This window comes from Homo sapiens, chromosome 16 (assembly GCF_000001405.40).
Source record: "Homo sapiens chromosome 16, GRCh38.p14 Primary Assembly".
NCBI lineage: Eukaryota > Metazoa > Chordata > Mammalia > Primates > Hominidae > Homo > Homo sapiens.
Genome location: NC_000016.10, coordinates 85626457 through 85647111, shown reverse-complemented (window position 1 = coordinate 85647111; position 20655 = coordinate 85626457). Strand labels below are relative to the sequence as shown.

At 61.4% G+C, this 20655-nt stretch overlaps 1 protein-coding gene across 30 annotated transcripts in view, besides 7 other annotated features; it reads right to left on the bottom strand.

Annotated features, from left to right (window-relative positions):
* Window positions 1-20655, bottom strand: part of GSE1 (Gse1 coiled-coil protein) — a 506689-nt gene that overhangs the window by 29089 nt on the left and 456945 nt on the right. For 17 of the 30 annotated variants that reach the window (XM_047433837.1, XM_005255859.6, XM_005255860.4 and 14 more), the window contains one exon: window positions 12980-13198. The exons of 12 other annotated variants lie outside the window; for them this stretch is intronic. In XM_047433837.1, the coding sequence (XP_047289793.1) occupies window positions 12980-13198 (219 nt within the window). Of the gene's footprint in view, window positions 1-12979; window positions 13199-13465; window positions 20035-20655 lie in introns of those variants that run through there. One more of the 30 variants, XM_047433819.1, reaches the window with a different exon arrangement.
* Window positions 6737-7269: an enhancer, noted in NCBI's record as "H3K27ac-H3K4me1 hESC enhancer chr16:85673449-85673981 (GRCh37/hg19 assembly coordinates)". NCBI's record gives its function as "activates a minimal SCP1, AML or CMV promoter by ChIP-STARR-seq in naive H9 embryonic stem cells {active_cell/tissue: H9 hESC(naive)}" and the evidence as "EXISTENCE:reporter gene assay evidence [ECO:0000049][PMID:30033119]".
* Window positions 7270-7804: an enhancer, noted in NCBI's record as "H3K27ac-H3K4me1 hESC enhancer chr16:85672914-85673448 (GRCh37/hg19 assembly coordinates)". NCBI's record gives its function as "activates a minimal SCP1, AML or CMV promoter by ChIP-STARR-seq in primed H9 embryonic stem cells {active_cell/tissue: H9 hESC(primed)}" and the evidence as "EXISTENCE:reporter gene assay evidence [ECO:0000049][PMID:30033119]".
* Window positions 10804-11757: an enhancer, noted in NCBI's record as "H3K27ac-H3K4me1 hESC enhancer chr16:85668961-85669914 (GRCh37/hg19 assembly coordinates)". NCBI's record gives its function as "activates a minimal SCP1, AML or CMV promoter by ChIP-STARR-seq in naive and primed H9 embryonic stem cells {active_cell/tissue: H9 hESC(naive and primed)}" and the evidence as "EXISTENCE:reporter gene assay evidence [ECO:0000049][PMID:30033119]".
* Window positions 14630-15407: an enhancer, noted in NCBI's record as "H3K27ac-H3K4me1 hESC enhancer chr16:85665311-85666088 (GRCh37/hg19 assembly coordinates)". NCBI's record gives its function as "activates a minimal SCP1, AML or CMV promoter by ChIP-STARR-seq in primed H9 embryonic stem cells {active_cell/tissue: H9 hESC(primed)}" and the evidence as "EXISTENCE:reporter gene assay evidence [ECO:0000049][PMID:30033119]".
* Window positions 18389-19207: an enhancer, noted in NCBI's record as "H3K4me1 hESC enhancer chr16:85661511-85662329 (GRCh37/hg19 assembly coordinates)". NCBI's record gives its function as "activates a minimal SCP1, AML or CMV promoter by ChIP-STARR-seq in naive H9 embryonic stem cells {active_cell/tissue: H9 hESC(naive)}" and the evidence as "EXISTENCE:reporter gene assay evidence [ECO:0000049][PMID:30033119]".
* Window positions 19208-20027: an enhancer, noted in NCBI's record as "H3K4me1 hESC enhancer chr16:85660691-85661510 (GRCh37/hg19 assembly coordinates)". NCBI's record gives its function as "activates a minimal SCP1, AML or CMV promoter by ChIP-STARR-seq in naive H9 embryonic stem cells {active_cell/tissue: H9 hESC(naive)}" and the evidence as "EXISTENCE:reporter gene assay evidence [ECO:0000049][PMID:30033119]".
* Window positions 20117-20623: an enhancer, noted in NCBI's record as "NANOG-H3K27ac-H3K4me1 hESC enhancer chr16:85660095-85660601 (GRCh37/hg19 assembly coordinates)". NCBI's record gives its function as "activates a minimal SCP1, AML or CMV promoter by ChIP-STARR-seq in naive H9 embryonic stem cells {active_cell/tissue: H9 hESC(naive)}" and the evidence as "EXISTENCE:reporter gene assay evidence [ECO:0000049][PMID:30033119]".

Below are 20655 nucleotides of genomic sequence, written 5' to 3'. Positions count from 1 at the left end.
AGTGTTCCCAGGCCCTAAGGGAAGGGGCTTCCTCCTTCATGGAGCAAAACTGCCTTCTCAGACCAGGGCTCCCCTCTGTTGTCTCCCTCCCGCCCAGGTCAGAAGGGGACCAAGTGTGTGTGGTGGCAGGGGTAGGGGGTGTCCAAAGGCACCTGCTGCAAGAGTCCTCCTGTCCCCAACCAGGCACCAGCCTCGCTTCCGGAGCCCCCACCCCCCCCCTTGTTGTGGGGATCAAGCCCCCGTGACCGAGACCAGAGCAGCTCCCCAGAGGCTGGGGCTGCCAGTGAGGCCTGGGCCTGGGGTTCCAGAAGCTCTGCTGCCTGGGGGTCAAGAGCCCTGCCCAGCCTGACGAAGCCCAGGGGGTGCACGGCTGCACACTCACACCCCCGACTCCGGCTGGCCTGCAGCCTGCAGCGGGGAGACCTCGTGCCGCTCACACGGTTGTGGACTTGTACACAGCTCAGTGTCCGGCTCACCCTCCCCAAGCCCCCTTCCCTGACACAGGCCCAGGGCAGATCTCCGCCCCCAAGAGGCACACACAGCACCCAACTGGTGTCCAGCACAGGCCAAGGTCCCCAACAAGGCAGGCCGCAGAGGTGGCCCTGGATTCTATGATATCACAGCAGTGTCCACTGGGGGCAGGTTCCAGCAGGAGCAGGCACATGTCCACCCACCAGCAGCACCGTGCGTTCAGGCACCCAGACCCCGTGTCACAGCAGCTGTGCAAGCTTGCACTTGGGCCCACGGGGACAGATGCTGCCATCTGAGGAGGTGTGGTACAATTGGGCACCTTCTGTTTGCAAAAGCCCCACTTGGGAGGCACCTACAGCCCGGGGCATGGTAGAAGCAAGTAGAATGCGTGGTAGAAGCAGGTAGAATGCGTGGTAGAAGCAGGTAGAATGCATGCATAGGAAGCGTGGTAGAAGCAGGTAGAATGCATGCATAGGAAGCGTGGTAGAAGCAGGTAGAATGCATGCATAGGAAGCGTGGTAGAAGCAGGTAGAATGCATGCATAGGAAGCGTGGTAGAAGCAGGTAGAATGCATGCATAGGAAGCGTGGTAGAAGCAGGTAGAATGCATGCATAGAAAGCGTGGGAGAAGCAGGTAGAATGCATGCATAGGAAGCGTGGTAGAAGCAGGTAGAATGCGTGGTAGAAGCAGGTAGAATGCGTGGTAGAAGCAGGCAGAATGCATGCATAGAAAGCATGGTAGAAGCATGGTAGAATGCATGCATAGGAAGCATGGTAGAAGCAGGTAGAATGCATGCATAGGAAGCGTGGTAGAAGCAGGTAGAATGCGTGGTAGAAGCAGGTAGATGCCCTTTCCAGAAGGAGGACCCCAGCCCATCAGCTCCCGGCATCCTGCCCGACTTCTGTTCAGACCTGGCCTTGGTTCCGGGGGCAGAAGCAGCCTCATCTCCCCTTCACTGTGTCCGGAGTGGGCACGCGCACATTCACCAAAGAAAACTGCTGCTCACAGGGGGTGCCCAGAGGCCTCAGGCAGCCAAAGTGGCCTTAGTGGCGTGACCAGGAGGCAGAGGCCCCACAGGCATCCCGATGTGGAAACAGAACTTTGCTCTCCCAAAGGTGCTCCCTTGGGGTGGGGCAGCTGCCCTGTCCCGAGGGCAAGTCCGTTGCTTCCTGCAGAACGGTATCTGGGCCTCTTTAATGTGGTTTCCTGGGCTTGTGTGCAACCTGCACAACTGGATAGGGCAGCTCCACAACAGACACTCCGTCTAGCCAGATCGGCCACGCCCCAGAGCGGCCCAGAGGCACGTTCACATTCTCCCCAGCAACCCCCGAACTGCCCAAGGCAAGGCCCCCACCTCATCACGCTCCCACCCACCAGGATCTGGCCCAGGTGGGGAATGAGGCTGAGGGCTGCTGCCCCTGAGGCGTGACCCAACCCCAGACCCCCAGATGGACTAGCCAACCACTGCCCACACCCTGAGAACTCCACCACCCCAAGTCGACCGGGCCAACACCTGGGACTGGGCACTGTGCCGGCGGGCTACTAGATCCACCTGAGGAGGGGAAACGCTGGCTGCAGGGCGGGGCACCACGCCCCTCACCTCAGGGGCAGAGGGTGGGGACAGGAGAACAGGCCTCAGCCCTCCTGATCTGTGGGTTCGTTCTGGACACTGGCAGTCTAGGCGCTTTTCTGTATGTATTTAGATTTTGAGAAAAAGTTCACTTTAAGTTTTTGGGGAAAAAAAATAAAAACTAGGGAAAGGATCGTTGTTTAAAAAAAAAAATTCCATGGAACCTCCATGGCTCTTGGGTTTCAGTTGTTATAGCTTCACCGAGCTATGATTCCATCCCGCGTAATTCACCCACCCAGCGCGCGGCCCCACGGTTCTAGCACGTCCAGAGTTGTGCGACCATCACCACAATCCATTTCAGAGCATTTCCGTCACCCCAAAAGGAACCCCCTACCCATGAGCAACCACTCCCGTCTCCCCAGGCCCCGCACGCATTGGCTCTCCGTCTCTAAAGAAGGGCCTGTTCCGGAGACTTCACATCAAGGGAATCCCACCGCGTGGCCCTTCTCGCCTGGCTCCTCTCACTGGGAGCCGTGTCTTCACGGTTCATCCACATTGCAGCACCTAAGAGAATCTCTCCTTCCCGCGGCTAAGTGACAGTCCACTGTGTGCCTCTGTCCACCCACTCCTTACTGGTCCGTCCCTCAGCTGGTGGCATACAGGCTGGGCCCACCTTGTGGCCGCTGTCAACAGTACTGTGCCCAACACTCTTTTTTTTTTTTTTTTTGAGACAGGATCTCACTCTGCTGCCCAGGCTGGGCTGGAGTGCAGTGGTGCAATCACAGCTCACTGCAGCCTCAACCTCCTGGGTTCAAGTGATCCTCCCACCTCAGCCTCCTGAGGAGCCGGGACTAAAGGCACGTGCCACCAGGCCCGGCTAGTTTTTTGTTTGTTTGTTTGTTTTTGGTAGAGACAGGGTCTCGCTGTGGTGCCCAGGATGGTCTCAAACTCCTGGGCTCAAGCGATCCTCCCGCCTCAGTTGCCCACAGTGCTGGGATTACAGGCATGAGTAACGGTGCCTGCCCCACCACCCTACTTCATGGAAAGCCCTCCTGTGCACCCGGCCCAAACCCAGGGTGTTCCCATCTAGATTCCAGTAGCTGTGAGTAGGGGAAATGTGGACATTTGTGCTGTGGAGCCGAAAAAGGAAATAAAACCAACACACCGAGAGCCGCCACCCCACCCAGGCAGAGGCTGCCAAGAGCTCATGATCCGGGCTCCTGCTGCCCAGGGGAAAAGTTGGGGCCAATGGCCAGGTGGGCTGTGGGTCCTCCCTGGGGACCGGACAGTGGGGAGCTGGGAGCAGGAGCTTCCGAGCCCCACCACGTGCCAAGCCCCAGGAACCTCAGAGACTTCTCTGTACCCCAACTCTACAAATGGGGAGAACCTTATAGCCCATGCCATAAGGGGATGCACAGAGACCTGGAGCTGCCTGGCTCCAGACCCCATGCTGCCCCATCCCTCTGAACCCCACCTCCCAGAGAGACCCCTTGCCATGACCAAGGCAGCTGCCACTCCAGAGTCTCTGAATGAGCCTCGTTTCTAAGCACCAGTGGGTGAGGAAGAAAGAGGCGCGGGTGAGGAAGTAAGAGGGGTGGGTGAAGGGTGGGGAGCTTCTCTGGGGCAGGGCAGGCCATTGACACTCAGCGGCCTAATCCCCGCTGGCGGGTGCTACTCATCAGACCAGCCAGCTCAGCCTCGATCGATGCCCCCACAACGCCAGGCCCATTAGCGAGGCTGGCACCTGGCCCTCGAACCCTCATTCTCACCGCGTGGCTGGAGCAGGAAGGTCTGTGATTGCTGTAATTAACTGGCGGTATTCAGCCAGGAGTTAAGTCAATGAAACGGATCTGGATTGGAGATGACAAGAGGCAGCCCGTGTCCGCGTCACCTCTGCTGTCTGACCTCGAAGATTAGCGCTGAGGCCCACGGGCAGATGTAATTAACAGCTGACACCCCAAAGTCAGCGAGGGAGTGTATTGAGGGCAAAAACAGGACCGCAGCGCCACAGCAGCACCTGTCAGCCACCCAGGCTCAGGCCCACCCCGCCAGGCAAAAACCACCGGCACCCCCTGAAGAGTCATCGGTCTTTAAGAGGCGCTTGGGGGCCACGCCACAGGACCACTCTCCAGCGCACTGTAGACCGAGGCGGGCGTGGCCTCACCGTGGTCAGGCCCCAAAGCCACAGGCCCTGACCAGGCCAGCAGCGAGCATGGAAGGAAAGGGGAGGGCAGGGCACCCGGAGAGGTAAAGACTCCCCAGCCGAGCTCGGCTCAGGCATTCCCCCAGCCGCTGTTCTGCACGGCCCCGACCCACCCCAGGGCCCGGCCCCGCTGCAACTGCTCAGGGGAACGGTGGAGAGAACAGAACGGTAACTACCGGACGTGCTTCCCTAAAGAGGGTCCCTGGAACGTCTTTGTGAGATGCCATGGCCGGGGGCTGCCCAGAGCTTAGCAGGGCCAGAGCCCTAGGGGACGGCTCCGGTGTCCACAGCCCATGCCTAGCCCATGCTGCCGATGGAGACACAGGTGAGGGGCAGCTTGAACAGATGGGTGAGCGACAGACCCCTGTCTCAGCCCCTTGGAAGGAGGGTCCCCAGGTGCACTTTGCCCCCTGCTTTCAACCATGCAGGGGCAGGTGCCGGCCAGGGTGGGAACCCAGGGGACCCTGTGTGTCTGCTAACCTGGGGGCTCTTCCTGTCATCAGTTCTGTCCCCAAGTTAGTGTTTAAAATTTTCTTTTTAATTACAAAATATTTTTAGAGACAGGGTCTCTCTCTGTCACCCAGGCTGGAGTGCAGCAGTGTGATCATGCCTCACTGCAGCCTCAACCTCCAGGGCTCAAGTGATCCTCCCACCTCAGCCTCCGAGCAGCTGGGACTATAGGCATGCAGCATCATGCTCAGCTCCCAGCTCAACCTTGAAAAGCTCTGGGCAGAGTCCACTCAGCAGGAGACTCAGTGTGCCACGTGCCATGACTCTGGAGCAGACCCACCAACGGCGATGCCAGCTGGGCCCTCAGCCGGTGTAGGCTGGAACAGCTGGAGGGAGGGCGGGGCAGGTCCACAGAGCCTGTGTCTGCCAGGGCTGCTCCTCCACTTTCTACTTTCGCCTACCGACCTGTTTCCACCCAAAACCTGGGAACCCAGCCCTGGGCGGACTTGTGGCGACATGGATGTGGAAAGGAGCCCGGCCAGAGGAGGTCCAGCCCCTTGGCCCAGGAGGCCCACGGGAGCCACAGGAAGCCGCCAGCCAGTGAGTAGGGAAGTGGGACAGGAGCTGAGTCACCCCAGCCACTTTCCTTGAAATCTGCCCAGTGGAACGGGAATAGCAGACCCCAGAGGAAAGAGCCAATCAGCCCCCCACCCACTGGGAATGGTGCGGGTCTGGAAGGTGAAGTCCCCATCGCACAAGTGACAAGAACAGGCTGGGAAACCTTCTGGAGTCACCGCAGCCCTGGTACACGGGACAGCAGGCACACCACAGCGCAAGGCTGAAGTCACGCCGCGACCCCCTGCGTTCCAGGGAGAAGCAGGAGACCAAGTAGCAGCAGCCGCCCTACAAGGCTCCCAGGGCAGGGCTCTCCCGACCCGCGGCCTGCGTCCACCAACGAGGCTCCACCTCACAGCTGCAAAAGGGCGGGGGGGGGCGTCAGCCAGTGGCGGGCTCCCATGCCCACCCTGCCATCACGTGCCACAGTCATCAAACCCAAACTGACAGCGGGAGGTGCGGGTTTCTAGCTGGAGATGCGTTTTGCCGGGGGCGGATTATGTGCTGAACAGCGTGAGCTTAGATGCTGGACCCTGGGAGCCGGATGGAGCCGGGAGAGTCCGCGTGGGACCAAAGGAGCTGAGACAGGTACCCTGAGGGAGGTGGGACGTTAGGACGAGGAAGAAGAAACGGGCACAGGGGCTGCAGGGAGGCACAGGGTGCATCAGGGAAAACCGGAAAAAAATCACCCTTATGTCCACGTGGCTAGGGGAGGCCTTGCCTCCATTATCCCAGGACAGGCCCCCAAAGGCTGACACGCCAAGTACTGGGCTCCTCCACCCTGCCCAGGGCTCCCCACTGTGCTATGCGGAGAAGGGGTCGGGATAGGTGGTGGGGTCCTCTCCGTGGGCCTTGCTCCCCTTTGGCTCTGGCTTCCCCTGACCACCAGCCCTCTGGCCCCCGGGCCAGGAGAACGGAGAGGCACCATGAGGACGCCCGCGGCGCTCACACCTGCGCGGGAGACAGACGGGCTCCAGACGCCTGCAGAGCCGCCGCCGCCGCAGACTGACACCCACGCGAGGCGCGCCTGCCAGGCGGGATCCTTCCTCCGTGTTTGTTTTGCTGTTTTCTTTGAGAGGCAGATTTCCGAGGCAGCGGCAGAAAGGGGGAGCCTCTCCCCCGCCCAGGCCGGCTCCACGGTGGAAGCATTCCCACGGCAGCTCATGAGGATGGGTCTGTGGTCCCTGCTCCGTGGTCCCCGCACACGTAGTCCCCACTCACTCAGGTGGGATCTCGGTTTCAGGTGGCACCAGGGACAGGACAGTAACCGGATCTGCCTCCCCTCTTGCCTGCAAAGCCAGTGACAAGACGAGGCAGGCAGCCAGCAGACACCACCAGGGGAAGGCGGCACAGGGCCCCGCGGGCCTCGATGACAAGAGAGCAGTTCCAGCCCCACTGCCACCACCTGTCGGCCCCGTCCCTGTGGCCCAAGCCGGGCTATGGGTGGCTGGGCCACCCCTGCCGCAGGTAACACAGCGGCCAACACCTGCTTGGAGAGGCCTCTGGCAGCTTCCAGGGCAGGTACCATGAGCCCCCGGCCGGTGTTAAGGGAGCGAAGTGTGGGCAGGGAAGCCATGAGTCCCGGCCACCGGGCTGGTGACAAGGAGGCGGGGTGGGAACGGGCTCAGACTCTTGTGCGCCCAACCCCAGCTCCCTGCACCATGGGTGGTGCTGGGGTGAGGTGGGGCTTCCTCGCCAGCCAGGAGCACCTGCTCAGAACTGTCCTCCAGACGGCGGCTCTCCAGCCCACCTGGGAAGGCTCTGGAGCCACCCTGTTCCCAAAGCGCCGGCCTCCCAGAGCAAAGGCCCGCAGCACGATCGCCCCCAACTGTTTCCCAGGGAGGGGGTGCCTGGTCCCAGGTGCTGCCTGTGCCTCCTGGAGCAGCTGAGGACACGCAAGGCTCCCCGTACCTCCGCCCCCGGCCGCCTTGGCAGACGGGCGCTGCGTCCCTGCGGGAGGCTGCCGCCTGCTGCACACGGCAAGCAGATGCCACACAGCTTGCGAGGGTGCCTGGCAGCAGCCCTGGCTTCGTCACACAGCAGTGGGGGCGGCGGTGGAGGCTCCACGGCCTGCCCTCTGCAGAGACACTGGGCAGGCCCGACAGCTGTCACACCCCAGCCTGGCTCAGGGCTGCCTTCAGGGTGTGGAGCTGGGGAGCTGGAAGCACAGGGCCTGGCTCCACGCACAGGCGTTCCCGGGGCACCCTCGGGGCAAACACCTCTTATTCAGTCAGTCAACAAGCACCTCCAAGGACAAGGGATGATGGGGGGATCCCGACACACCCGCAAGGCAGGCTAGGCCTGGCGCCCAGGAGGCTTAGAGGGGAGTCAGAATCTGTCCAGCGCAGGGGGTGGGACACAGGGCTGGGACCCATCCCCCCAGTCTTGGGACTCCTAGGCTGAGGTTTCAGATGCCTATGGGGGTGGTTGGGTGTCTGTGCAGAAGAGGTCCTGGTAGGAGAGGCAGGGAGGGAGGCGGTGGCCAGGCCGCCATTCCGAGGAGGGGACAGGTCCCTGCTTGTACCCAAGGACCCGGTGCCACCCGAGGAGTCTGGGCTACAGCGGGAGCTGGCCCAGCTGCGTCGAAGGGAGGGCTGGGCGGCCCCGGGGACGTCCCTTTGGTGGCTGGGACAATGTGGGAGGAACAAAGAGACCAATAGCCACCAGGGCAGAACAGGGTCAGGGACGCCTCGGCTCAGACTGCAGCCCAGGCCGGTCGCTGGGAAGGGGCTGGGGGTGCAACCCAGGATCAACTCAGGATCACGCCCAAACCTGCAGCCTCCTTCTAGAATGTTCTGCGTGGGGCCCGGGCACTCCAAGCCCCATTTCTCCCAGAAAGTCAAGACCAACAGGCAGCCACTTGGCCCTGCCTGCACCCTGCACCACTGGGACAGAGGAAGCCACCGCAGGCTCCCGGCCCAGAGCCATTGACGGGGGGAAGCCATGGCGGACCCACACCTTCCAACCCCACCGGGGAAGCACACGCCCTCCCAGGGCAGATGATGGGGGTCACAGGGGTAGGACGGGGAGTCAGGGGAAGGGGTGGCAGTGGGTGGAGGGGTAGGGGAGGCACGTAGGAGGTGGGGGTGGCAAGAATGGGGAAGGTGAAAGGAGGCAGCATTAGGGTGGGGGGCAGGGAAGGGGAGGCGGGGGTGGGAGCCAGGGTGGAGGCCTGCTGCATTGACACTCATGCCACCATTCCCGGCTGTGGCACATTCCCACCCAGTCCCCACGATTCATGAGGTAGAGACCTGCTCCTCACCCAAGAAAAAGTGGAAGCTCAGAGAGGCAAAGCGGCCTGCCCGGATCACACAGCAAGGAAGGAAAGTGCTGGGGCATGCATCGGCGATTCGCAAGCGTCTGCCCTTGCCCAAAGCGCCCCAGCCTCGGCAGTGAGTAGGTGAGTAGGTTAAAGGGTCAGGCTGGCCCTGGGGAAGGGTGTCTGGCCCGCGCTGGTGGGCGGGTGACTGAGCTTTGAAGAAGAGAAGACGTCTCAGCGCCTCCAGAAAAATAAATCCCAGCGAGGGCCTCCTCTTCCTCTCCTTCCCAGCCTTTCTCCCAGGGCAGCGCATGCCACAGCTTCGTCTGAATTGAATTTTTAAACTACACCCTTGAGACACAATGAGAGGAGAGACGCGGAGGCAATCGCAGTCAGATGGCGAAAACCGAGAGGCACTTCCAGAAGTCGTCAGGCGTGCACTGGAGAGGAGGGTCAGGGTGAGTGAGAAGGCTTGCCGCAGGCGGCTGGGGCCCAGGGCACCCAGAGGAGGGGCCGCGTGGGGCAGCACAGCCTCTGCTGTTCCCTGGGTGCGCCAGCTCTGCCACCTCTCCTGCCACCTCCCCCTGCAGCTCTGGGAGCTGCCCTGCTTCCATCCCTGCCCCCTCTGCCCAGGACGTGCCGTCGCCAGGAGGCAGCCCTGGCTGCGGGCCGCTGAGCTGGCCAGCTCAGCCGCTAGCCCGCTGGGGCTTGGTGCTCTCTTGGGCACCTGGCAGGCACCAGAGGGACCCCACTCCCCGGCAGGTGTGGCTTTCACAGAGGCCCGGTCTCCCTTTCTGCAGGGAGGAGGCTACACCTGCGGGGCAGGGGTCTATGGAGTCTCAGGCACAAGCTGGGGATTGGAATTCCCCATGCCACTTACAACGTGGGACCCGGGCAAGCCGGAGGCTCAGTTCTCATCCACCAGAGGCGAAGGGTGTGTGAGAAGCACAGCGAGCCCGCCAGGGGCACAGCAGGCGCTCGATACACAGCCACTGCCGCGATCAAGGGGGGACTCAATACATAGCCACTGCCGCGATCAAGGGGGGACTCGATACATAGCCACTGCTGCAATCAAGGGGGCACAGCCACTGCCATGATGAAGGTGGGGAGGCCCTCACTGGTCCAACTCCAGGACGGAGCAGAAAGGCAGCTGCGGGTTCGTGGCCCCACCCAGCTCCCCCGACCCGGGTCGTCCAGCCACGAGAAGCAGGAAGGGCTGTCACGCCGCAGATGGCCCACAAGGACCAGGAGATGTCACGCTCAGGGTCCAGACACGCACCGCGCCAGCCCATGTGTACAAAATGCCCACAGGTACATCTACAGAGGCAGAAAGCAGACAGCGGCCGCCGGGGGCTGGGGGAGGGCGTGGGAGCTGACGGCAAATGCAACCGAGGTTCTCTTAGGGGTGACCCAAATGTTCTAGAATTAGATGGTCACACAACTGTGTAGGAAAATCACCAAATCATGCGCTTCTACAGGGTGAATTTTATGGCATGTGAATTGTAACTAAAAAAATTTTAAATAAGAAATGCAAACCCCTCCCACTGCCAAGTCCGCCAAAGGTTCCCCCTGCTGCCCTCTGGCGCAGATGGGGAGGTAGCACCAGGGAGCTGGGGGGGTAGCACAGGGGAGCTGGGGGGTCCACATGTCCCCACTGTCATCCAGGACTCCACAACCCACAGGGAGGCAGGGTCAGCGTGCTGACAGCCAGGCATAGACCCTTTTGTGCGCCCAACGCCAGCTCCCTGCTCCACTGGCAGTGGTGCTAGGGGTGAGGGGGGCTTCCTTTCCAGCAGGGACCGCCGGGACCACCAGCTCAGAACTGTCCTAACGGCGGCTCTCCCAGCCCCCCCCCGGGAAGGCCCAGCAGCAGTGGGACACGGACACGACCCCACCCGCTGTGGCTGCCGTCTTGCGACTTGTCCTCTCTGAACTTTGGCCTTCTCAGCTGCCCGAGGGTCCCGGGAGGGCTGCCGGCCAGTTCCATGGACGGGGAAACGTGAGGTCAGGGTCCGGGTGACTCCATGAGAATGGGGACCAGGTGCACTGAGTGGCTGAGGTCACGAGGAACGAGTCACCCAGTCCCTCCCCATCCAGACCAAGGCCTGACAGGGGTGACCAGCTGGAGATTCATCAAAACGGGTGGGGGCGACGAGGGCCCAGGCCTGGCTGAGGGCGTTCCAGGACCCAAACACTGCTCCACATCCGCAGACTCCGAGCCCCACAAACCTTGGCATTCCCAGCTCAATAGGGGGTGAGGTGGGTGAGTGAACCGATGGGCACATGGCTCAGGCAGTGGCACTGCTCGCCCGCTCTCCCGACCCTCTGCCATTCAGTTCCCAGGCATCCACCCCGGGGGCATCTTTCCTGGGGGGCATCCACCATGGGGGACCCTTCCCAGTGCCCAGGTTGCAGCTGGGAGGGAGCAGGGCCACGAGGCCATGGTGTCTGGCCTCCCGCCAGGGGCGCCCAGCGGCACTTTGTTCCTGGCCAGTGGGGACCAGCGGCCTCTGGCACTCAGGCCACCCGCTGGCCGAGCCACCAAACCAAGTGCTGGGGCCAGCAGCATGGGGCAGCGGAGAGGAAGCGACGGCCCTGTGAGCAGGCTCCTGCTGTGACGCCCACGGCCGCTGCTGGGCCCAGGGAGGGAAGGCGAGTCTGAACACCTCTCTACCACCTTCCTTGGCGAGGAGGGAAACCTGCCCTTTCCTGACCACGTCCTCTGCAGCGTTACCCAGGGGTGGAGCCCAGAGGCCCCAAAGCAGACACAGCTGCTGGATGAAAGCAGGATGCAAGGATAACCCAGCCCAGGTAGCACCAGCGCCAGTCACGTGCCGCCCGTGGCCTCGGAAATCCCTCACCAGCCCTGGTTCTCCTGCCCCCAAACGCTGAGAAAAAAAGACAACTGCAGCAGCAGGAGCTGGGCCAGCTCTGACCTCGCTTCTCTCCACCCCTCTCAGGAGAGCCCGAGTCTCGACTCCAAGCTCAGCTTCCTCCCAGGGTCTGTCCCCAGCTGCCTTGTTCACCGCCCCAGAGAGTCCAGGATGCCTCCACCAGGCAGGCAGTCTGCTTCCCCCTGAGCCATCTTGCCTGCAGCTGTCCGGCCTCTTGACACAGGTGGGGCCCATGCAACCTGGCCCGCTCAGGTGTGGCCAGGGAGTCCCCTGCCAAGGGCGTGGAGGGTTTTCTGGCGGTCCTGCCTGTGCCTGGTTTGCCAGGAAGAGCCAGGAGGCGAGGGGCTGCCCCCTGGTGGTACGGAAACCAGACCCCAACGGGCCTCCCTCCTGGGCCAATACCCCCCATCCATCAATGTCAGGTGTGTCCTCTCACACTCCCCCCATTCTCCAACGAGCAGCAGCAGAAAGGATCCAGGAAGGAGACATTCAGAAATGAGAAGTCCCCCCAGCCCGCCCTGGTCAGGGCAGGTGTCCCCTCTGCCAAGCTGGAACCCGGGTAATGTAAAGACGGACATGGCTCCTGCATGTGTTGCTGTGGCCACCCCGGAGGGCCCTGGCACCCGGATCTTAACCCGTGGGCCTTGGAGGTGAATGAAGCGGATGCCACTGGGGTCCCGGTTTCCTCAGCCCCCCCGCCTGTCAGCAGCGAGTCCAGAGGGTGTCCGAGGCCAGAATCCACATGGCCAAGGCCCCCAGCAGCTCCAGCCGCCCACTGCCCCTCCCCATTTGTGCCAGCAGCAGCCCCTGCCAATGGTCATCGCAGGCGCCAAAAAGTACCCCAGAGCCAGAGCCAAAGGGGGCGTCTTTAGAGCCTCACTGCACAGACAGGAAAAATGAGGCTCAGAGGATCAGCAACGTGCCCAGGTTCACACAGCAGGTCCTGCCCAGGTGATACCAGAAGCCAAGGCTCCAGACCCCGGGGGCCGCTTGTCTATGCTCCCCACAGTCTCTGCCTCAGGGAGTTGAGCAGTGGTGGGTTCAGCTGTGCCAGAGACCCCCGCTCCAGACCACTGTGTTTCCAGGGACACCATGTTCTCTGCCACTTCTGGAGGGAGTGTCAAAACCTGGGCAAGGAGCCACTTGGGGAGCACTGGGGCCCAGCTCTCCCTCTGCAGCCTCTTGGGGCTCCCCTGGTCCAGGGCACCCACCCTCCTCCCAATCAAGTCACAGAGCTGGTAGGAGCACCTCGCTACATCCGGACACCCCTGCAGTGGCTCCGGGGGCCGAGGAAGGACAGAGGCAGGAGAGACAGAAGCACAGAGGCAAAGCGGAGGTGCTGGGGCAGGCGGACTGGCCCAGGGTCTGTAGCTCAGCCAGCACTGCCTGCTCCATGCAGAGCACACGGCGTGGGAAAGACGAGACCTGCTGTGAGCGTGCACGCCGCAGGCGGGAGGCTGAGTCCCGGCCTCGGGAGCCGCCGCTCCCCCCACGCGCAGCCTGGCGGGCCCCCTTACCTCTGGGCTCCTCCGCCTGTTTGGCGAGCTTGCGCAGCGCGGCGGCAAAGCTGGAGGATGGCGCGGCCTGGGCCGACAGCGCGCTGCTGGTGGCGGGGCTGCCGCTGGGCACCAGGGCGCCATTGAGCGGCGAGGGGGTGAGGGGGTTGACGGTGGCGGTGGTCCTGGTCGCGGTGGAAAGCATCCCTAGCGAAGGGGACTTGGGCTCATGGCTCATGCCTGAAACAGGAAAAGAAGAACCAGAGGTCACCCAGAGAGCAGGAGCGCCCAGCACCAGAGCAGGGTCGGCAGGGCCGGTGTCAGCAGCAGCAGGCAGGGAGCAGGGGCAGCCCCGGGGGCTCCAGCAGGACAAGCAAGAACAGGACAGAGCCAGCGCTGCAGAGAGAACAGACCCCGTCCCCAGAGTCCAGCTGGAACCCGGCACAGACCCAAGAGGCCCCCAGGACCCCAGATGCTGAACGGCTTGGGCCAGCACTGTCCCTCTACCTCTCCAGGGCAGTCCAGGCTGGGCAGGTCGTGGAGGATCCCACGCATCACCCAACAGGCCCCTGACCATCAAATGGCGTGGGGAAGGAGACTGAGGCCCAGGCGGAGGAGGCGTGCGGCCCGCATCCTCAGGATAGAAACACGCTGGTGGAGAGGCCCAGGGACGACGGGAACCAAGACAACTGCTGTGGCCACTGACGCGACAAGCACACGATGCCAGGCACGCATGGCAATGCCCTCAGAAGACTGGCGGGAGTTCTGCCCCACGTTACAGAAAAGGAAACTAAGGCCCCAACTCGGCCCAGTCCACGCGGGCACTCAGGGCAGACCCCCGGCCTCCCCGCCACTCAGGGACCCTGTGCGTCTCTGTCTGAGAGGGGTCCCAGAGATGGGGCCACACAGGCAGGCTGACAGGGAGCGGTGGGGAAGAACACGGCCGCACTGCAGACCCCACTGTGGCCCCTTACTGGGCACAGAGTCTGCCCGGAGATGCTAAAAACAGAAAACCGCAAATCCAAACCGCGGTGCAGCTTGGAACCCTCTTTCCTCCCAGGGCCAAGTTCAGGCCGACCTGGCGCAGCAACGGCTGACCTGGCCCTCCCGGCCAGTGGTGACAGCGGCGGCGGCGGCGGCACCAGAGGTCTGAGCCCAGGGGCAGCCACCTGGTGACATCAGAACCACTGGGGAAAGGACATGGCCACCTCCAAACAAGCCCTCAGTCCGCCCACCCCGTGTGTCCAATCAATAAAAGCCCAACCTGGTCAAAATGTTTCCACCAACATCCCTCCCCCGCAGAGACGCCCCCACCCCTACATCACCCACAGACAGGGTCCCGGCTTCCTCCCTGTGGATGCATCTTGGGGCGGGGGGGCGCTGGGGCCACACATGGTGGGGCTGGTGTCACAGAGATCCGGGGGGCAACACACAAGAGGGGCGGACTGTGCACTTCCTATGGGGTAAGGGCAAGGGGGCCCCCAGGTTCCTCCCCGGAAGAGGCTGCCCTGGCCTCCAGAGCCCACTCCACCTCTGCCAGATTCTAAGTGACATTGACAAGTCTAATTGGAACCTGTCCCCATGGGACAGCAGGCTCGGAGGCAGCGTGGAGAGGACCCCCTCAAGACCTCCTTTGTCCACCTGCTATCCCCAGAACTTGCCACCAAAGGCCGTGAGTCCTGGCCATGTATTCAGGGAGCCAAGTCCTCCCTCTCCTGATAGAGGGGACGTAGGGAGAAAATAATTCTTTGGGGGCACTGAGGGAAGGGCTGGGGGCACTGCCTGAGAGAGGGGGCTGCAAATGAGAGAACAGAGAGGCGGGAACGAGTTCGGGGGGCATCGTTTGTTCTCCCCAGTGAGAGCTCACACCTTGGGAACAAAGGACCCCTGAGAGCCCCATGCCCATGGCAGGCAACAGCCAGGTGGCGCCGTGGCCGTGCCCTGCAGCAGCGGGCCCCACCTAGCCTGTCTTCCCTTGGCTCTTTCTGGAGGGGCCAGGGGTGGAGGGGGACCTGCACCCCCATCCTGCCTTTCCAAGGCCGCTTCAACCCGGCACAGACATCCAAACAAGCGGGAGGGCGGGGGCTCTGCCTGGCAGCCTCACTTCCAGAAAATGCGGGCTGCCAATGAGGGCCCGTCCTCGGCCAGCCTGAACCCTGCCAGCTGCTCTCTGCTCCGCACCGCCAGCCACGCTGCCCCCAAGGCGGGCCTGGCCTCTGCGTGTCCCCCGCACCGGGCTGCCATCAGTGCCTCTCCCTGTGCACAGAGGCGCAGCGGGTCCATTGGAGGCGATGAAAACGCGCCTGTGGCTCAGACCCAGCTTCTGGATGCTTCTGGCTGAACAACCTTTTGGGGCAAGTTACTTTGCCTGTCAGGGCCTCCGTTTCTTCATCTACCAAACGGGGTAACAGCACAGCAAAGCTGACCTCATGAGGTCACTCCCCTGAGCATAATGGGGTAACTGACATGAGGGGCTTCAGAGCCTGTGGGGCACCCCAGGGCCATTACGAGACAGCATGCCAGCCAGCGAGGACAGATGCCAGTCCCAGCAGGCAGATGCCAGTCCCAGCAGGCAGGGGGTCCAGCCAAGGCCACGCAGGTGTCTCAGCAAATGGGACCCATGCTCTGAGTCTGCGATGCTCACCCCACTGGAGCCACAATGGGGAGGGCACATGGTGTCAAGCTGGCAGGCACCCTGCCCACAAGCCCCGTGCCCTGGGCCCACGAGCCCACACACCTTCGGCAGAGGGCCACCCCGTGACCCCAAAAGGCCGGTGGCCGGGAAAAGGTGACCCACAGGACACTGGAGGATGGGGGAGACCAGAGCTCTTGTCCTGGTGCCTGCAGGGGACACTGGAGGACATGGCCAACATAGGGGCTGCCATGGGCAGTCCAGAGGACCTCCGGGTCCTATCTGTCACCGAAGCACCTTCAGCACCACACCGAGTAGGCTGCGGGTTTTTAGGAGGGAATGTCTAGAAAGACGAAGTGGCACAGGACAGAGCCCCACCCTCACAGGGACCCACACGGACATCAATGAACCAGGTCCTCGTGGTCCCAACGAGGCACTCAGGAGGGTGACGCTAGGAGAGCTGCCTGGAAGACAGGAGCAGGGCCCCGGGGAACGCAAAGACCACCCCCCCAGGGGATACTGCAGCAGCTCTCAGAAGTCACACAGACCAGTCGGGCACCTCTCAAGACAGCCTCACAATGAGCCCAGGAGAGGCCACAGCAGCTGAACTGTCACCCACCACCCAGCCTGTGTCCCACCCCTCACAGCCATCGCCCAAGCCCAAGAGGCCTAGCGTACAGATGGGGAAACCGAGACCAGGAGATGACCTAAGCTTGGTCCAAGGTCAGTCAGTTGAGCAGCATGTCCAGGACTTGAACCCGGCTTCCTGGGCCCCCACTGCTCATTACCAGCACCTGCCCAGTACACGGCCCAACCATGGCACCCGATCAGAAGGCGTGAATGGTCACATGTGCGCGCACCACACACAGCTAAGATACGTTGAACTGTAATGGTTAAAAACATTCATCCTGGGCATGGTGGGCACACCTGTAATCCCAGGTAAGTAGGAGGGTGAGGTGGGAGGACTGCGTGAGGCCAGGAGTTCAAAACCAGCCTGGGCAGCATAGACGCTGTCTCTGTAAATTACCCTGAAACGACACATGCGTACCTGTAATCTCCGCTGTTTGGGAGGATTATTTGAGCCCAGGAGTTGGAGCTACAGTGAGCTATGATCACACCGCTATACTCTAGCCTGGGTAACAGAACCCTGTCTCTCAAAAAATAAAAAGAATGTCTATAAAGTCTTCATCAGTCATCCTTTCAAGAGGTAGAGACCAATTCCCTTCCCCAAGCGTGGGCCAGACTGAGCAACTCACTTCTGATGAACAGAGTATAATGGAAGCAGCAGTCTGCAGCTGCCAAGGTAAGATCACCTCCTTCCTGGCCCTCTTGGGTCACTCCAGTGGAGGGGGGTCAGCTGCCGTATCATGAGGATGCTCAAGCAGGTCATGGAGAAACCCACATTTCAAAGAACCAAGGCCTCCAGCCAACAGCCATGTGAGAAGCCACCTTGGCAATGAATCCTCCAGCCCCAGGCTGGCCTTCTGATGAGACCGCAGCCCCAGCCAACATCTCAAGTAGGCTCATCACAGACCCTGAGCCAGAACCACCCAGCTAAGCCATCCTCCAATCCCTGGCCCACAGAAACTGAGATAACAAAGGTTTTGTGTTTAAGCCACTGAGCTGCGGACAGTTGGTCACACAACGCTAGATAACTGATACGGTCAGCATCACCACACCCTCTATTAATCCAGGCCGCCCCCTCAATCCATCAGAAAGCCAAGAAGTGAAACTATCTGCACACAGAGACTCTGCATCTTCACCCAGAGTCTCCAAAACATGTCCCTTCGATGCCAGAGACCATCAGCATCCCCCATCCCCCTTTCCCACATTCCTCAGAGAGCCAGCCACTCTACATCTTGGCCGCCCTATGAGAAAGCTGGGACTGGGCCTATTTCCCAGATAGGCGAAGGCAGGCTTGGAGCCCAGGTCCAGTGCAGAGCAGGGCTGAGATGACCTCAGCACAGTGCCCATGTGACAAGCCAGCCAGGGCCCAGCTCGACCTGCTCCAGGGCCGCAGGAGGGGCCGATCTCCGGTGCAGGCTGGGTGGCTGACTATGCCCTGCAAACCACACCACATGCTACCGCAAAAGGGGAACGTGGGGCACCGTATGGTCATTTCACCTCCAGGTGACCCGCCCTGAAGGTCTGGGAGCAGATGCCAATTCTCTCTCCTGTGGCCTTCATGAGGCTGGCTGGCCACCCGGGCAGATGTGCTATGACCACCAGCCACAGGCACGGGCTGGGTGGCTGAACTAGGCTGTCTGTGTTGCTATAAAGAAATACCCGAGGCTGTGTAATTCATAAAGAAAAGAGGCTTATTTTGGCTCCTGACTCTGTGGGGTGTACAGGAAGCGTGGTGCTGGCATCTGCTTCTGGGGAGGCCTCAGGAGGCTTCTAATCATGGCGGAAGGCGAGGGAAGCCAGCACATCCAGTGGTGAGAGAGGGAGCAAGAGTGGGGAGGTCCCAGGCTTTTAAACACCCAGATCTTGCGAGAGCGTGCTCACCACTAAGGTGACGGTGATAACCCCTTCATGAGAGATCCACCCCCATGATCCAATCACTGCCACTGGGCCCCACCTCCAAAACTGGAGGACACATTTCCACATGAGATTCGGAGGGGACACACATCCAAACCCTATCAGTGGTACACAGAGGCCATGGCGCGAGTCCCAGACCAGACCCCAGATGGCGCACACACCTTGAGGCTACTGGCAGTGTCTTCAGATGGCAACGAGAAGAGCTATGTCTTTCACTTTCATCCTTTTTCTCTCTCTGTATGTTCTAATTTTTCTGCAGTGAACCAGGCTTTTAAAAGGCGGACATTCAAAGGGATGGCGGCTCGACGGCACGAAGTCAGCACCGCCAACAAAAGCGTGGGGCTGTCCAGCCACAGGGCAGAGGTGGAGGGAACTGGGGTGTCCCTGCAGGAGTCTGAACCTGAGCCCTCACCCACAGCTCCCCAGCCCTTCCCTGGTGACCAGGGAGGCCCTCTGCCTGCTCCCTCCAATGCCTGGGTCTGAGGCTACCTCAGTGTCACTATCACCAGCCCACTGGCATCCTGACAGCAACCTCCCTACCCCGGCCTCTGACAAAGCCCAATATCTGCTCCCCGGGCCCCATGGGCCCCCTCCAGCCCCAGGTACAGTCTCCCTGGGTCCCTGGGGGTCCCCTGCGGGCAGCATCCCTGCCCCGGTGTCAGCTGCAGGCTCCTGAGGAGCTGTGAGCCTGGGAAGCGGCTCTGCTGATGTCAGGTCACTTAAAATAGAATTCCAAATGAGCGGCTTCATTAGGGGGAATCTAAAATTAGCGCTGCTCCTCAGTATGTGTGCACTGGGCAGGCGGGGCGGGGGCCGCAGCAGCCGGGCGCAGCTCCCTTGAGGCCAGGACAGGAGGCCAAGAGCCGGGGAACCCCGAGATCCTTGGAGGGGTCCCCCTGGGCCTGCTGTGAATGGACACAGCCTCCAGGGCCCACGTGCCTCCTGCCCCTCCAGGCCTGGTGGGGATCACTTCAAGGCTGCTGCCCCCGAGGCCTCGGCACGAAGCCCCCAGCCCTCCCCAGGGAGACCGATGCGGGCCTCCTCCCGTGCAGGTGTTCTCTGGCTGAGGTCAGTGCAGGTGCCAAGGTGTCCGTGGGGGACACAGGGATGGCGGGGAGAGGGAGGCCCTGGGAGAGCACACCCCCCTGCTGCCCTCATTAGAGAGGTATTTATTAACTTCTGCGCTCCTGGACATTGACTGAATTCTTGTCTACATTATCAGCTCATGTAAATTCATTATCCTAACAGCTGGGAATACGCTCCACCGTGTGAAGGCCTGTGACGGATGAGGGCCGGGGGGCCGGGGGGCCGGGGGCTGTCTCCGCACTGTACAAGCTCTCTTGACATGTGCAGCTCAGCAGGCGAAAACGAGCCAGGGGTCTAGGTGGACCAGGTCTGCGAGGCCCCCACCCTCTTATTTACATCACGTGCTGCTCTGGACAACCCTTCCTGCCACTGTCAGCTGCCACCTTGACCCCCACCCCCAGGAAAAAAAAAGCTGCCACAGCCAGACACCTAAAGGCCCCTCGGCCCTGGGCACCCTCAAACTGAGGGGCCAGGGGACATACCCCTTCTTCATGTGAGCCTCAACTGTCTGCTCCCTGGACCCTTTCAGAAAGAACCCACCTGGTCTAGACAGTCTGCCTGGCAGAGCTGAGAACCTAGAGGCTTCTGCCAGAAGCCAGAGGGCAGGAAACGGAGAATGAAGCAGCAGCCCACAGCACCGCAAAACCCTCAGGTCCCACCATTTCACAGACAGGAAAGGTCTGGGGAAGCAAAGACCACCGCCCCCGGGTGAGGCCCCCACCCCCCGCCCCCCGTAACAAAGCACCGCTTCTTGAATCAATACTTTCTCCTATTCTCTGGCTAGGTTTCTAATAGGGTCAGAAGCAGCACAATGCTTTAAAAAAAAAAAAAAAAAAAAAAAAAAAAAAAAGGCAAGAAGAAAAGGAAGCAAAGTCCCAGTGGAGAGGGACAAGGCTGGCTGGCCCAGCGAGCTGCTATTTTCCGGAACCCATCTCGTTCTTAGTTCTTCAGAACAGACCCCAAACCGGTCTGCCTGCTGTCCAAACGCTCCAACAGCAGGATTTAAACGAGGGGGGAGGCCTCTCTACTCCATTAAATATGGTGTCCCATTCCTCGCTCCCCCTCCCCACGAGGCTGGAGGGGCTTATTAATCAGCGTGCCAGCCGCCCTCCCGGCCTCCCGCGGATCCCGTAATTACTGCTTCCTTTCATCCCGGCTCTTCCCCGGCACCAGACCTCAGGCCTGCTCCCTCTGTGCTCTGTAATTACAAGCTAATAGCTGAGGTGAATTTTCTGCTGGGTCCCGGTTCAAGCACCAATCCGCCCCTTCCCCCTGACAGCCCCCCGTGGGGTAATTACACCCCGTGAGGCTGGGCCCAGCAGGCCTTCACTTTCAGGCCCCGCACACACAATCTGGACCTGGATTCTCTAATCACCCCTCTTGGTAATTTTTCATTACCGCAGAAAGAAATGTTTGTGAACAAATAAAGGGCGTCCCC